The sequence below is a fragment of the Homo sapiens genome, chromosome 13 (genome assembly GCF_000001405.40).
Source record: "Homo sapiens chromosome 13, GRCh38.p14 Primary Assembly".
NCBI classification, from domain to species: Eukaryota; Metazoa; Chordata; class Mammalia; order Primates; family Hominidae; genus Homo; species Homo sapiens.
The window spans coordinates 107163253-107178410 of NC_000013.11; the positions used below are offsets into that span (position 1 = coordinate 107163253).

The 15158-nt window shown below is 37.8% G+C and overlaps 1 protein-coding gene across 1 annotated transcript in view; it reads right to left on the reverse strand.

Moving 5' to 3' along the window:
- Nucleotides 1-257: 257 nt before the first annotated feature.
- NALF1 (NALCN channel auxiliary factor 1) overlaps nt 258-15158 on the reverse strand; it is a 703987-nt gene continuing 689086 nt past the window's right edge. Inside the window, exon 3 of the mRNA NM_001080396.3 lies at nt 258-7534. Within this exon, the coding sequence (NP_001073865.1) occupies nt 7245-7534 (290 nt within the window). The 3' untranslated portion in view covers nt 258-7244. The remainder of the gene's footprint in view (nt 7535-15158) is intronic.

Sequence of the window (15158 nt, forward strand, 5' to 3'; positions counted from 1 at the left end):
AGTCAAGAGTAAGAAATAAAAATCACACAAGCGAAAAAGAAATTAAGTAAAGCAATGAAAACTTCGCAGTCCTCTAGATAATTTTTTGAAACTCAATGAGCAAAATAATCAGCCCTAATATAAATATGTGCATAAAGGAGTTTAGCCAATTCCGTTTTGGATGAATCAGTTGGGTTAACATAACCACGGTGACAGAAAAAGCAAATTCACCTAAAACGAATAATCTAGGCAACCGAAGAAATAAGGCGTAAACAAACTTTAGCAGTGGCCTCTATATCTTTTTAATATTTGTATTTTAATAATTTTAGAAGTTGAAATTTAAGATCCAAGGCATTTCTTTAGCTACTAATATACTCCGGAATGTTCCTTTCCACATTCTTAGTCTCTCATAATTAACTGGTTTTAGTACTTTTATTCCGTGTTCATATTCACATAAAAAAGTACTTGAGTACATTCAGAAAAACAATTTAAAAATAATACATGAGTTTATACAGTCCTTCCTACTTTTAATATGCCACACAACATCAACAAATCTAAGAAAAATAGAAATAAGGAAAATTAAGTGCAAACATGAGAATGCTTATCATGATATGAAAATAAATGCCATATGCAGAAAAAGGTAGAAAAAGAAAACAAGAGAAAAAGGAAGAAAAAGAAAGCAAGAGGTTTTCTTTTAACGTCCATATAGAGCTTTAACTTTTGCTGTAGTTTATATTTCCTATTGTTTTATCCATTTTGCAGTGAAATGGTCAGTAGAAAATGGCCATAAGTTGAAATTTGCGTTTCGGTAAAAATGACCTTCTACTTGGCTAGCACGCCAATAACTGGAATCTTGAAGCAGCAGTGCTGCGGTGAGCTGGGAGTTTTAGGGGAAATAGTCACTGAAGAAAGTCTGTATTCATAGATCAATGCTCATTACCTGGTCTTCACTGAAGTTGTAAATTTATTTCACTGATCCTTCTCGCCACTGATTCTATGCAACTCTCACCTACCTAAATAGATACAAATCAATGAAATAATTTACTCAAGAGCCCTGCTTAATCTATTTCCATATACTTTATCAAAAACTGAACAGGTTTTCTAACTTTTTCACTGTTATTTCATTCTATAATAATTATAGTGTTAATTAAAATATATATTAATTCAGTTTAATTAATTTTCATAATAAATGTTCCAATTTAAACATTTTCATGTTTAAAATTACTATAGTTTTTTTAAGGAATTCAGAGGCATCAAATATTTATATATATTTTTTGATCTATGAGTGCCTTAAACAACCACTTTGAAGTTGCATCATTATTTCTACTACCACTGTTGATCAATTTACACTTGCTTGTAGAACCACTTCAATTTGTGTAGATGCCTTTAACTTTTGCTTGTCAGTAGTAGCCTTTTGGGAGTGGAAATCGAAAATAGCCAATGCTGTTTATATTAAAAGTCATCAGAGCTCACTTTAGTTCTGTAATATATGTTAAGACTTTCAAACTGTATTGAAAATCTATTGATGGTCAGTCTGCTAGCTTAAGGATGTGAGGTGTTGTTAAAAAAAAAATGTAATTAAGAGATAAGCCAAAGAAATTCAGAAACTCTGAACAACTTCCAGGAGCAGTCCCTATGAGCAAGCCAATCCAGTTTCACTTTGTGAATGAATAGTCATGATAACTAACTACTACTGAGCACCTGTTTTGTCCAGGCACATTTATATTACTTATCTCTTTTAAGCCTCCAATGTTGCCACGAAGTATTCTTCTTGCATGAGGTGTCACGTACAAATACATCATTGACCTCCCTGTGTCACCTGGAGCCAAAGCTCATCCCTAAACCATGGCTTTGCCCTAAGATCCTGTGCCTTTTCTCCACATTAAAAATAAAAATTAAAAATCTATATTTTATTAAAATATTCCCATAGACCCTCTTCTCCTTTACCTCCAAAATATTGAATAACACAGCAAAGTCATGGAACAAAATGTAACATGACAAACGAACTCTGAGACATTCGCTAGATCTTCCTGATCATTTTGATTTTTTCATTTAAGATTGAGTGATTCTACAAATATCTTGGAGTATGAAGAAAATCCATTCAACTCTTCAAGTGTGTCTGAGACCTAGGGATCCCACTGTGCCTCGGAGCCAGCTTGTGTAATTTGTAATCAGAAGATGCTTGAGTTCCATCATTTGCATTACCTACCTGTGTGACCCAGGACAAAATAACCAGGTGATTTTCTTCTGAGTTTAATCTGAATGTCTTGTCTGTGGTAAACATAGCCCTGAAGTACAGTATCTCAAGAATAAAAACCATAGTTCATATTTTGTTTCATGCCTTAAGTTTTATTCCAAGGCTAAGAAGATTATCTATACATTTTCTCATTATTTGGAGAATTTCTAGAATTTGTAGCTGTTTGATAGTTCTTATAAATGTCATGAAGACATTGCTTGAAAACTATACTTAGTTATTTTCCTTCCCCCCCACTGAAAGTCTTTTTATTCATTGTCACCCAATACCTACCTGCTATATTAGGTTTTTTATAAACATTGTTAAAGCTTGGAAGATGGAGATTCTGCCTGTTTCAAAATTGTGATTTATTCATTAATGGAGATATTTTGAGAGTCTGTTTCCCTTGTCAAAGTAGATATGGTTTTTAAATGACCATGCTGCTCTAACTTTGACAAACAAGTAGGATCATTCATCATTATGGTATACATGTGCTGTTATGGACTACATAATGTTTTGGTTGAAGTTTTATTTGCAAGCGATGTGTGTGTGTGTGTGTGTGTGTGTGTGTGTGTGTATGTATATATATCTTTATATCTCTCTAAAGATATGCCATAGTATATAACCCTAACGCCTCATATATGCATATGCACACTTATGAAATTAAATACCTGGCTGGGTGTGGTATCTCACGCCTGTAATCCCAACACTTTGGGAGGCCTAATCGGCGGATCTCCCAAGGTCAGGAGTTCAAGACTAGCCTGGCCAACATGGCGACACCACGTCTCTACTAAAAATACACAAATTAGCCAGGCGTGGTGGCACAAGCCTGTAGTCCCAGCTACTCGAGAGGCTTGAGGCAGGAGAATCGCTTGAACCCAGGAAGTGGAGGTTGCAGTGAGCAGAGATCTTGCCGCTGCATTCCAGCTTGAGCAACAGAGCAAGATGCCATCTCAAAAAACAAACAAACACACAGAAAAGAAATTAAATACCTGACTGCAGTTCTAAATAAATAAAACAAAATGCAGCTTTCAGTTCTGTGTTGATTTAATGCTTTGAGTAGCAGGAAAATTGTAAATGTCTTTGTTACTGAGAAAGAATGTAAATCATGCTTCAGACTGGTTAACGTTTTTGATGTTGTTCAGATATCAAATACCATATGCCAATTCAGGTATTTGGCACATGGGTCTGGCATCCAATTGCTTATTTCATTTATGTTTTTTTCCCCCGGAAAAAAGTATGTACTTATTCATTCATATGAAACCTCCTTTCCCCCTCATTCCCCGACTCTATCCCTCCCTTCTTCCCTCCCTCCCTCACTCCCCTCTTTCCTTCCTTCTTTCCTGTCATTCTTTTGTTTCTGCTATCTGCCTATTTTCTTTTGTTTTAATGACTACAGGTTCTAGTACCTAAGGTACCAATTTATTGGTAAGAAACCAAATTACTTTTTGTAATGATGCCATTTAAAAGAACAACTTTCACTTACTGCCTTGTGAGAGAGGGGAAAAATACTATCTTTTTAATGCAAGAAAAGTTCAATATAACGTATCACCAAATGTAAATGCAATAAAGAATGACATTGAACTCTATGTTATTTGCCATTTAGCTTAGCAGTACCAACATATTCCAGAAACTGAAATTTCTCTATTGCAGATAAAAAGAATAATAAACAGGGAAATCTATGCCATACATTTATGAAACAAATATTGTTTTCTTGGTTTTCAACTTGCTTGCAGAAATAATTATTTTAATATTGTAGTTCATTAGCCAGTATACGGTAGACATCCTCTACAGGAAAAACTAAACAAGATGATGATTACAAAGGAGCAGGGGCTGAACTTATTTGTTCAAAATGAACATATGCACAACCTTAAGCATGCTCAAGTGTGTGCCAGGAAAACTACTACAAAGAATCAACGGATGTAGTGAAATCTGCATCATCAGTGATTGTTTCTGAGCTTGGGAAAGGAGTCGTTGCCTATTTGGATCCTCTGCCTGACCCCAGAAGAAGCTGCTTTGCTTCAACATGTCCAGTGGAAATATTGCGGGAAAGTGGTTACACACTTACACTAATAAATACTAGGCACTGAAATCATTCTCCTGTAATAAGAATAGATGAACATGACAAAGAAAATATTCCGCCAGAATTAGAGACTATTCCAATGCTGGCTGACTTGATGGGGAGAAAGGACTCATTCCCCTTCCCTCCTTACCGTTCCTTCCTCACCTAAATTATCACTTTATATTTACAATGAAGACTGCAGTGTTTCTCCCAACTTTCAAAGCTGTGTTTTTTTTTGGGGGGTGGGGGGCAGTGTGTACCTCTTATGTAAAGCAATGGTGGTTTTAGTTTTCCACCTTTTGGTTGGCATTATCTCCAAACAAACGCTAAAACACGGGTAAGTGGAACCTTCTGATCCTCTTGTCTTTGTAAAGAACTTTAGTCAGTTCAAAATATATTGAGAAAATGAAAACCTATATTTTAAGGAATACTGCTTTTCGTCATTTTGCTAAGTGTTTAGAAAGAATAATTTATTGTCATACCAATAAAAGTGAGTGGAATTTGCACTTGCATTGTCATTTTCCTGCAAGAATGGAAACGCCTATGGCACGGGGAGAAGCAGCATGAGGAACGCTGAAGAGATGGTGAGATGGCACATGGAGTGGCCTTACCACAGCAGAGGTAGATAAAGGTCAGAACAGACTCCTTCCTAGCCATTCCCTTAGAGGTCATCTGAATAAAATCACCCTGTGAGCTCTTCCTCAGGAATCACTTGCAGCCTCAATTCCTCTGCTTCTCGTCCCCCCAGCGCCATTGAAATCTGTATTCCACCATTGGTTGGGATACCAAAGTGCTCATTTCTACAAGTGTTTCACAGTCAACAATTCCATGCAATTAATGTGTCTCCCCCGAGCCATTCACTTCCTCAGCTTGTGTCCCCAGAAAAGCACCATGTTTCCATACACTAAAATATGATGCCTATGTGTATGTATCTGTCCACATGTGAATGTATTTGCATTTGCAGAAAAAAAAATTTTAAAAAAGGAACAAAAACGGGAGAATTTTGCATTTTTGGTGTTTTCTTTTTTTTTGTATTTGCGCAGACCATTTTAAGATTTTCAGTCTCAACAAAACACTATTAAAACAAAGAATCTAGTAAAATATTGTGCATGTACTGCTAAACAATTCTAGCAATTTTATTAAGCAATACCTTTATTATTTTTGAATATTCTTAACAGACTGGAACGAAACATTTTTTTTCAAAACAAAATATGCATACTGTACGCATGTCGCAGGGTTAAGTATGATGCAGAGGTTAAAGTCTGTTTGAACAAAAACAAATGCCCGGGGAAATTTCATAGCTATAAAGTTAATAACTAAATTTTGTTCACTAAGAGGACCTTTTCTATGGATTTCCTTCATCTCTCAGTCACACTGCAAACTTATCTGAAGTGCACTTCCCAAGTGTAGTTAGAGAATAGGAAGGAATGTAAAATTTTTTTTTTAATTATTTGTTTTGTTTGTTTGTTTGTTTTTTTAAAAACAGCCCTTATTAACTCTTCCTTCCACTGATTCTACTGTAAACTCATAAAAGCCTTTTATAGAAAGCAAATTCATGTACACTCAGCAGGTGAAATGTTCCCACAAAGAAAATAAAATACAAACAGTGATCAGACCTCTTTTCCTCAACTACCTAGAGCATGTTAGAGTGATAAAGTTTTTGCACGTTAATAAAAATGGCTGACCTATTTATTTTTTAAAAAAGAAGTTGTTCCTCTGTGATAATGCAGAATTGCATACACTGTATACCTGGAATAATTTTAAACCATATGTTAGGGAAATACTGGAATAAAATTGTGTATATTCTGTATATTGCAGGTGTTTGAGCATTTCTAGTGTCTCTTCCACAACAATAAGGGAGGAAAAGAAGTCCAGATATGTGTCCGCAATCCCTTTGTTTGTTCCCTGTAATTACAATGGCCAAAATGTGCTCCTATATTACTGCAACAGAACAAAAATCACAATGAAAGCCCACCTTCATTGTCAAAAGAAAAACTTCCTCACTCCCCGCATCCTGATTCTAGATAGCTGCTCCTGTCCAACTGGACCAGCAAGAAAGGGCTGGGCCACTTGGGGATGGGAACTGGAGCAATACAGTTCATGATAGTTTTTTTTAATTTTTTCCTTTTATTTTGTTTTCAACATAAAAATGTGTTAACTGTCTGATTCCACCTATTATGGAGAGCACTTGTTTGTTCAGCTAAAAAGGAACTCTTGTCAGGCCCCCTTGGCTCCGCTCTGTTTCTGGTTTGTGCAACAGGGGCTCAGAGGCCCACCAAGCGTGCACACCCATTCACTGTGGTTACACAGACAGAAGCAAGCGGATGTTGTTTGCTTAGGGGACGAGAAGAGGGCGAGGGAAAGGAAAGGCCGGGAAGGGTGTTGTTGGTTCTGTGGGTAGAAGGGAGACTTAGGGATTTTTTTTATTTTTATTTTTTTGTTGTTTTCTTTTTTTTGTCTTTTTTATTTTTTATTCTTTTTTTGTTGTTGTTTTTTGCTATACCATGAGGTCATAGCAATCATTCCTCTAATAGAAGCTGACAGGACATAAAGACAGAACTATCTGATGAACACACACAATGACTAGAAATATATAGAGAGATAGAGACAGTGAAAAGACTTAGTTTACCTCTGAGAAACCATCCCCCAAAATAAATCCTGTATTAACAAGTGCAAAAAATAAACAAACAAATAAACCCAAACCAAAACGAAAGCAAATAAAACCTCCAAACATTAAAACACAGTGTATAAAATGGTGTGAGAAATTTAAAGTCACTTTCCAGCCTTTTAGTCAATAAAAAGCTGTGGTTGTGTCCTTGTTTGGATTCAGGCCCATCTGTTTAAATTTTACCCTAAAGGCCTTGCAATAAGTAATTCGAGGGTAAAAGCACCCAGTTTCTGTTACATGAGACAGCAGTTGCCATTTTTCACGGCGGGCCAGCTGCTGCTGTGGTGACACTCGTCCTTCCGTTACTCCTCATTGGTTGAGTTTTCTTCCAGCGTGTTGATGCCTCCAAAGCTCAGTCCGGCTGTGTTCTGTGCTGCCGAGGCTGTGAGCACTGTGTGTAAGAGAATCAGTACAAGAACACACAGCTTGAGTCTGCTGTTGCACAGTCTTGTTGCTGATGACACTGTGAGCGATGTCCTGTGACAGGAGCCACTTTTCTCTACGGTCCCTTTGGATGGGTTATTTGATTTTTCTTCTCTCCTGACGTCACAGCATTCTGGTTCATCATTGGTTAGAAAGGTTTCATAAAGCCCTGTAGGAAGAAGGAAGTAGAGTGTCAGCAGGAAGGAAATACATTTGCGACATAGTAGAGTGAAGCTGTTGCTTTAACATTCTAACCCACAAAATCTTACAGGCAATTAGACATTTATTTAAAGGAAAATCAAGTCAATGCAATTGGATAAAGAGTCACCCATGGTCTCAAACCAGTATTGTTAGATTCCTCAAGTTGTTCTTTTATATTCCTGCCAGTCATACCATGAAAGTTCTGGGTTGTTGGGAATACAGAATAGAAGATTTCATTAAGTCAAAATCAGAACTTGAGGTTCCGGATCAACTTGGATATCAAGTACATGCAGTCATCCTTTCTTCTTTCACAGGAATGTGACCAATTGATGCACTGCGTAAACTGACATTAGCTAGTTATGCTGAGTGAAATAAGCAACAGATCATAACGTCATAGCTCTAGGAACCATGTTATCATCGTTTCCTCTCAGAAGCCTCATCAAGTCTTCTCTCCCCCTCTCTGGGAGAATGGGCAAAACCATCTATATGTCCAGTGGGTGATCGGGTCATTTTGATTTATTTTCTAAACATTTCTCTTATTTTTCTCCATTTTCTCCATTTGCTTTCTACAGAAGTCTGCCTCAGTTGAGGCTTCATTATCTTTTGCTGGGACCATCACAGAAGGAGTCTCTCTGCTGTTCATCTTCTCATTTGATCTGTCCTCCAATTGTGCCTATCAGGAATTGTCTGTCTCTCTCCGCTTCTCTTGTTCTCTCTTCACTTTCTTCCTCCTTGCTGAAACTCTTCCTTCCCTTTTTGTCTTCTTCCTCTGATAACACACATTGTTCTTATTTTAAAATTGACAGATGCATATTTTAAAACTTTGGAAGTGGTGAAAAGAATAAAACAACTGTGTATCTACAATCTTTCCAATCCTTTACCTTGCTGTATTACATAGAATATTTTTATGCAAGCTATATAAGTCATAGTGTATTTTTTTTCTACTTGACTGAACCATTTATCCATGGGTGTTAGAATGAACTTTCTACACAAATTTTGTCATATTAATGTCATGCATGAAAAACTTAAAAATGGGGATAATAGTAGAGTTGTTGTAAGGATTACATGAGATTTTTCATGTCACATGCTTGGTTCAGTGCCTAGCACATAGAAATAACATGAAAATTTGGGCTGCTGTGAAAAACAATAGTTATCAATGGTATCTCATTGCTTCAACCTAAACAATAAAATCTAAAGGTCTCTCCTCTCTCTCCAGGCTCACTGCTCAATGTTCCCGCAATCCTGAAGCATTGGCTCTTCCCAGAGCACCCAAGCCTGTATCACTCGCCAAGCTACTGTTTCTTCCTAAAATGTCCTCCACCAATTCCTCTACATACTTCTCATTTATCCTTCAAATGCGGTTCAAGTGAAACTCCCTGTATGAAGCTTGTACTCATACCCCTGGGCTATTAGCATTTTGCTTAACTCTTAATTATAGCAATTATTCTTATTTTTCTTGTAATCACAATTGCTCATTTTAATTTCAATTTTCTTACTTATCTGTCAATTTAAAAGCATAAACTATACATTCTTAGTTTTGTATTCCCAATATGTAGCAGAATGCCTGAGCAGAATACTTAATAAGCATTTATTGCATGAATAAACTCAGTATACCTATTTATTTAATTAAAAATAATCTCAAATAATATACACTTCAATCTTCATTTTCTTTTAAAGAAATGAACAAGATATCCTTATAATGATGCTTACAATATTCATTTCTTCTTAGGCATTCAAAGGTAAACTTCACCTTCGCCTAGGTAGAATATAAAAAAAAACTGAATTAATGAGGTCTTCAGCTCTGACATTTTTATTGTATGATATTTTCTTTTTTCATATAAGATATCTCACTGCTAGACTAATCATTTATTGAAATATACGTTTCCAATACTACATTCTACAACAAAAGGAGTTTACAATAAGATTATAAAAATAGAAATCTAGAAGTCCTTTAGATCAACATTTTAGAATGCTAATAATCAGAATATATTTAACAATGTTAGGTAAATAAGAAGCTCTTCCAAACTTGCTCAGAAACTGGTTTGCTGATCTACAACTACAGTCATCGCAGAAAAAAAAATGGAAGCAGTTCATTCAGGCCAATAAATGAACCCTTCTTTTTGTCTGGCACAATTAATATTCTTTCTTTTTTCTCTCCTGTCCATCTTTTTAACAAGTTTTTACTCAAATTTATGAATAACATGCATCTATATTAAGATAAAATAATTCCACAGAGTATTTTACAAAATAACAAAAAAAATCCTCCACCTCCCACATCTCAAATTCTTCTTTCTCAAAGGCAAATATTTGCATATCTTTCAGCTGCTTTGTATTTAGCTGCATTTCTGAGAATAACATGTTTTATGCTCTTCTTGATTTTTCATTTTTAGCATTATCTGTAGATTCCCCTCAGGAAGTGTGGAGATAAAACATTTATTCTCCTCCTCCCTCCAGCAAACATGCTTCCCCCCAAACCCTCACCCATTCCTCCATAAATAGTAACTTTGATACCTGCTGTTCCATTTACAGTATAAGGATGACATAAATGTAATTCTTAGCTCAACCATGTAGTAAAGTCCAATTTTCTATCCCTATACCACTTCGTTTTTTTTTCTACAGATAATACTTGTCTTGTTATTTTCCCTCTTCTAACTCATTCAACCCAAATGCATTGCCAGTTCTTTCAGCTGCATGAAGTGTTCTATCAGTTCTTTTCTGAAGAAATATCTCCTGCAGCCTCCCACCATCTGGACTGGTTGCCGTCATGCCTGATGAGTCTCCACTGCTCCGTGCACTGCAGTGCTGGATCCCCTGTTCCCTGTATCCTGTGCCTCGTCCCCTTCTTTCTCCTTTTGAGGGTTTACAACCTCTAGTGTCTTCAGTAGGAAAAGCTCATGAGGGCGAATTTCCAAGATGCCATATGCCTTAAAGTGTGTTTATTCTACCTCATATTTAATTGATTGTTTGGCTGGGTATGGAATTCTAATTTAGAAATGATCGTTCTTCAGATTTATTCAAGCACTGGTCCTATGTTTGGCTGTTGGACCTTCAGAACTTGTCCTTTAATTTTCTTACCTCTGCTGTTAATATTTCATATTACTTCATCCCTTAACTCTGCTTTCAGGGAATTTGGTGAGTTTTCACGTGACATAATTTCACTGAATTTTGCTTTTTTCCCTAGGATCAAGTTCCAAGAGCTCCTTTGTGTTATCCGAATGTTGCTTTTCGAAGCAACTGTTCTTATTTTATGGTTACCATGTTTATGTTTTTCTCACTCTGAGATATTTGGGGTACGCTTATTTGTTGTGTTTCATTCCCTCCCTGAATAAATTCCCTCCATTTTCTCTGTGTTGCCACCCTTTTGTGTTTGTTTGTCCCTTGTTCTTCTCATGGAAACACCATGCATTCCTAGTTGTCTGCACAAAATAACAAGCACAGGAAGTCTGGGCACCTAAGGAGGGCTGCGGCCTGTGAGCTGCACGTGAGATGACATGCCTGAACTGTTAGAATGGAGAAACTTTTATTTTTATTTATTTATTTATTTATTTTTTTTTTTGAGACAGAGTCTCGCTCTGTCGCCAGGCTGGAGCTCGGTGGTGCAATCTCAGCTCACTGCAAGCTCTGCCTCCCGGGTTCAAGTGATTCACCTGCCTCAGCCTCCCCAGTAGCTGGAACTACAGGCTCCCGCCAACACACCTGGCTAATTTTTTGTATTTTTAGTAGAGACAGGGTTTCACCATGTTGGCCAGGATGGTCTTGATCTCTTGACCTCGTGATCCACCCGCCTCGGCCTCCCAGAGTGCTGGGAATACAGGCTTGAGCCACCGTGCCCGGCCAGGATGGAGGAACTTTTGAAATTCTGTCTTTAGGTTGATCAGACTTCCCAGAAAAGTCTATCCAATATCCATCCAGGAAGCAGAAGGCCAGGGAGCAGGAGGGAGAAGCAGGATGTGGCTGGGGGAGTCTCAGCTTCAGGGTGGAGTTGTGCATGGAATCCTGGTGGTCAGAGTGGTCCCCCGCCCTGAACTCCTCCTACTGTTGCTCAGATCAACAATCTTTTCTTTTTCTTTTTCTTTTTTTTTTGAGACGGAGTCTCGCTCTGTCGCCCAGGCTGGAGTGCAGCGGCGCGATCTCGGCTCACTGCAAGCTCCGCCTCCCGGGTTCACGCCATTCTCCTGCCTCAGCCTCCCGAGTAGCTGGGACTACAGGCGCCCGCCACGACGCCCGGCTAACTTTTTTTTTTTGTATTTTTAGTAGAGACGGGGTTTCATCGTGTTAGCCAGGATGTTCTCGATCTCCTGACCTCGTGATCTGCCCGCCTCGGCCTCCCAAAGTGCTGGGATTACAGGCGTGAGCCATCGCGCCCGGCCCAACCTTTTCTTTATCATCTCAAAAAGAAAAAGTTCCCTCCAGGAAGAAATATGCCCCCAGTCTCTGGGATGGGAGTAGGGAATGGGATTTGGGGACCTGACTGCCTCTTAAAACTGACTTCCACCCAGTCTTCCTTATTTTGCTCTTTCTTCCATTGCATCTCGTGTTGTCAATACCTGACTCTGGATGTAAATCGAACTGACTCTGTTTCCTCTCTGCTACTTCATATTACTTTTTCTAAGTTTCAGCAAATCTGTTAGCATGCATCAACTTTCTAATTTCTAAGAGGTTTTGATTATTGTCTCCTTACCTATTCTTTGATTCTTTTGGATTTATGCCATAAAACAATGTCTTTTTGGTTGGGACTGCCTAGAAAATTTTCCAGCTCTTTTTTCTACATCATTCTTCTCTGACTTGAATTCTGACAGATGCCTTTTTCTCTGTCAAATGCATTTCTGAATAAGCAAGGACATGCAGCCTTCTAAGGCCATTATTTCTTTGCCTTATATAGAGTCAGTAGGTCACATAAGCAGATCAATGACACCCTTGGGACCTGGGGGCACAGACTCCTCCAGTTGGCAGTGCTACCTACAGATGGTTTCACCCTGCATTCCTCCCGGACACTGCCCTTGGTTGAAGTTAGCAGTCTTGACCTATTTCTCAGGCCCTAGGCAGCCTCCTAACGATGTACAGGTCCCAAGGCTGGGTCCACTTGACTCAAGTCAAGGCATCTCTCAAGGGCCATCCCAGCTTCAGATTTTTTTCCCTCTACCAAATTTCTCCTTCTTCACCCCCTCATAGGTAGCATGCCTGAGAGTTCTCCCGCAAAAACCACCTGCACACAACCTGCTGGGACAAATTTCCTAGGAAAGCCTACCTACAGAAATGACCTTTTCCTCAGCATTGAAGAAATTATAAAAACATATTTCCAAACAAAAATAATTTCTCAAACAAGAACCTCCTTGCACAAACAAGTACAATTGCACTAATTAGCATTAGGAAAAAACAAAAGCAAATTTTCCGGGTAGTGAAATGTTGTTCTGATATATTTTGCTTATAAGCTGTTCTATTTGAAATCTCTAGTGAATCATTACCTGCTGTTTGACATTACAGTACCAACCTCACAGTTTTTTTTTTTTTTTTTTTTTTTGAGAATTAAATAATACACATGGGCTGGATGCGGTGGCTCATGCCTGTAATCCCAGCACTTTGGGAGGTCGAGGCAGGCAGATCACGAGGTCAGGAGATCGAGACCATCCTGGCTAACACGGTGAAACCCCATCTCTACTAAAAATACAAAAAATTAGCCAGGCGTGGTGGCGGGCGCCTGTAGTCCCAGCTGCTCAGGAGGCTGAGGCAGGAGAATGGCGTGAACCCGGGAGGCGGAGCTTGCAGTGAGCCGAGATGGCGCCACTGCACTCCAGCCTGGGCAACAGAGTGAGACTCCATCTCAAAAAAAAATTAAAAAAAAATAATAATACGCATAAATTGTTTAGACCAGTGCATGGCAGGTAAGAAAATCTCAAATAATATTAATTACTCATGTTGTAAGTAGAGATAAATACTAAAATCAGAATTCATTATCAGGGGAATTCCTACCTAGAGGAATCAGGCAAGAGAAAGAAGAGCATTCAATTTGACTTATTGGAAAAGAATAAGTCAAATTATTCTTTGCTGCAGATGATATAATTTTGTTTGTTTTTAAATTTATTTAAATTTATTTTTATTTTTCTTATATTAATTATCATCCAGCCCCAAATGTCATAATTTCATATATGGGAAAAACTAAAAACTCCACCAAAAAACTGTTAGAACTAATAAACAAATTCAGTAAAGTTACAGGATACAACATCAACATACAAAAATCGGTAACATTTCTATATGTCAACAGTGAAAAATCTGAAAAAGAAATAAAGAAAGTTATCCCATTTATGATAGCTACAAATAAAAGAAAATATCTATGACTTAACTAAAAAAGTGAAAGATCTCTACAGTAAAAACTATGCAACATTGATGAAAGAAAGAGGACACAAAAAAATGGAAAGATATTCCATGTTCATGGATTGGAAGAATCAGTATTGTTAAAATGTCCATACTACCCAAAGCAAGCTACAGATTCAATGCAATCCCTATAAAAAAATTAGGTTGGTGCAGAAGTAATTGCAGTAATACCAATAATGTTCTTCACAGAAATAGAACAAATAATTCTAAAATTTATATGGAACCACAAAAGGCCCAGAATAGCCAAAGTTATCCTTAGCAAAAAGAACAAAACTAGAGGAATAACATTATCTGACTTCAAATTGTACTGCAGAGGTACAGTCACCAAAACAGCATGATATTAACATACAAAGACACATAGACCAATGGAACAGAATAGAGAACCCAAAAACAAATCCACACATCTACAGTGAAGTCATTTTCGACAAAGGTGGCAAATACATATGTTGGGGGAAAGGACAGACTCTTCAATAAATGGTGCCAGGAAAACTAGATATCCATATGCAGAAGAATGAAACTAGACTCCTATTTCTTGCCATATACGAAAATCAAATCAAAGTGTTTTAAAGACTTAAGGGGCCAGGTGCTATGGATCACACTTGTAACCCTAGCACTTTGGGAGTCCAAGGCAGATGGATCATTTGAGGCCAGGAGTGTGAGACCACCCTGGCCAACATGGTGAAACCTCATCTCTACTAAAAATGCAAAAATTAGCTGTGCATGGTGGCAAGCCTGTAATCCCAGCTATGGGGAGCCTGAGGCAGGAGAATCGCTTGAACCCAGGAGGCAGAGGTTGCAGTGAGTCGAGATTGTGCCACTGCACTCCAGCCTGGGCGACAGAGCAAGACTGTCTCAAAAAAAAAAAGATGACTTAAAGACTTAAATCTAATATCTCAAACTACGAAATTACTAAAAGAAAACACTAGGGAAAGTCTCCAGGATGTTGCTCTAGGCAAAAATTTCTTGAGTAATACTCTACAAGCACAGGCAACCAAAGCAAAAATGGACAAATGAGATCACACCAAGTTAAAACGTTTCTGCATAGCAAAGAAAATAATCAACAAAACGAAGAGACAGCCCACAGAATGGAAGAAAACATTTGAAGAATACTCATTTGGAAAGGGCTTAATAAGCAGAATACATAAGGGGCTGAAACAATTCCACAGGAAAACATCTAATAATTCAATTTAAAAATTGGCAAAAGATCTGAATAGACATTT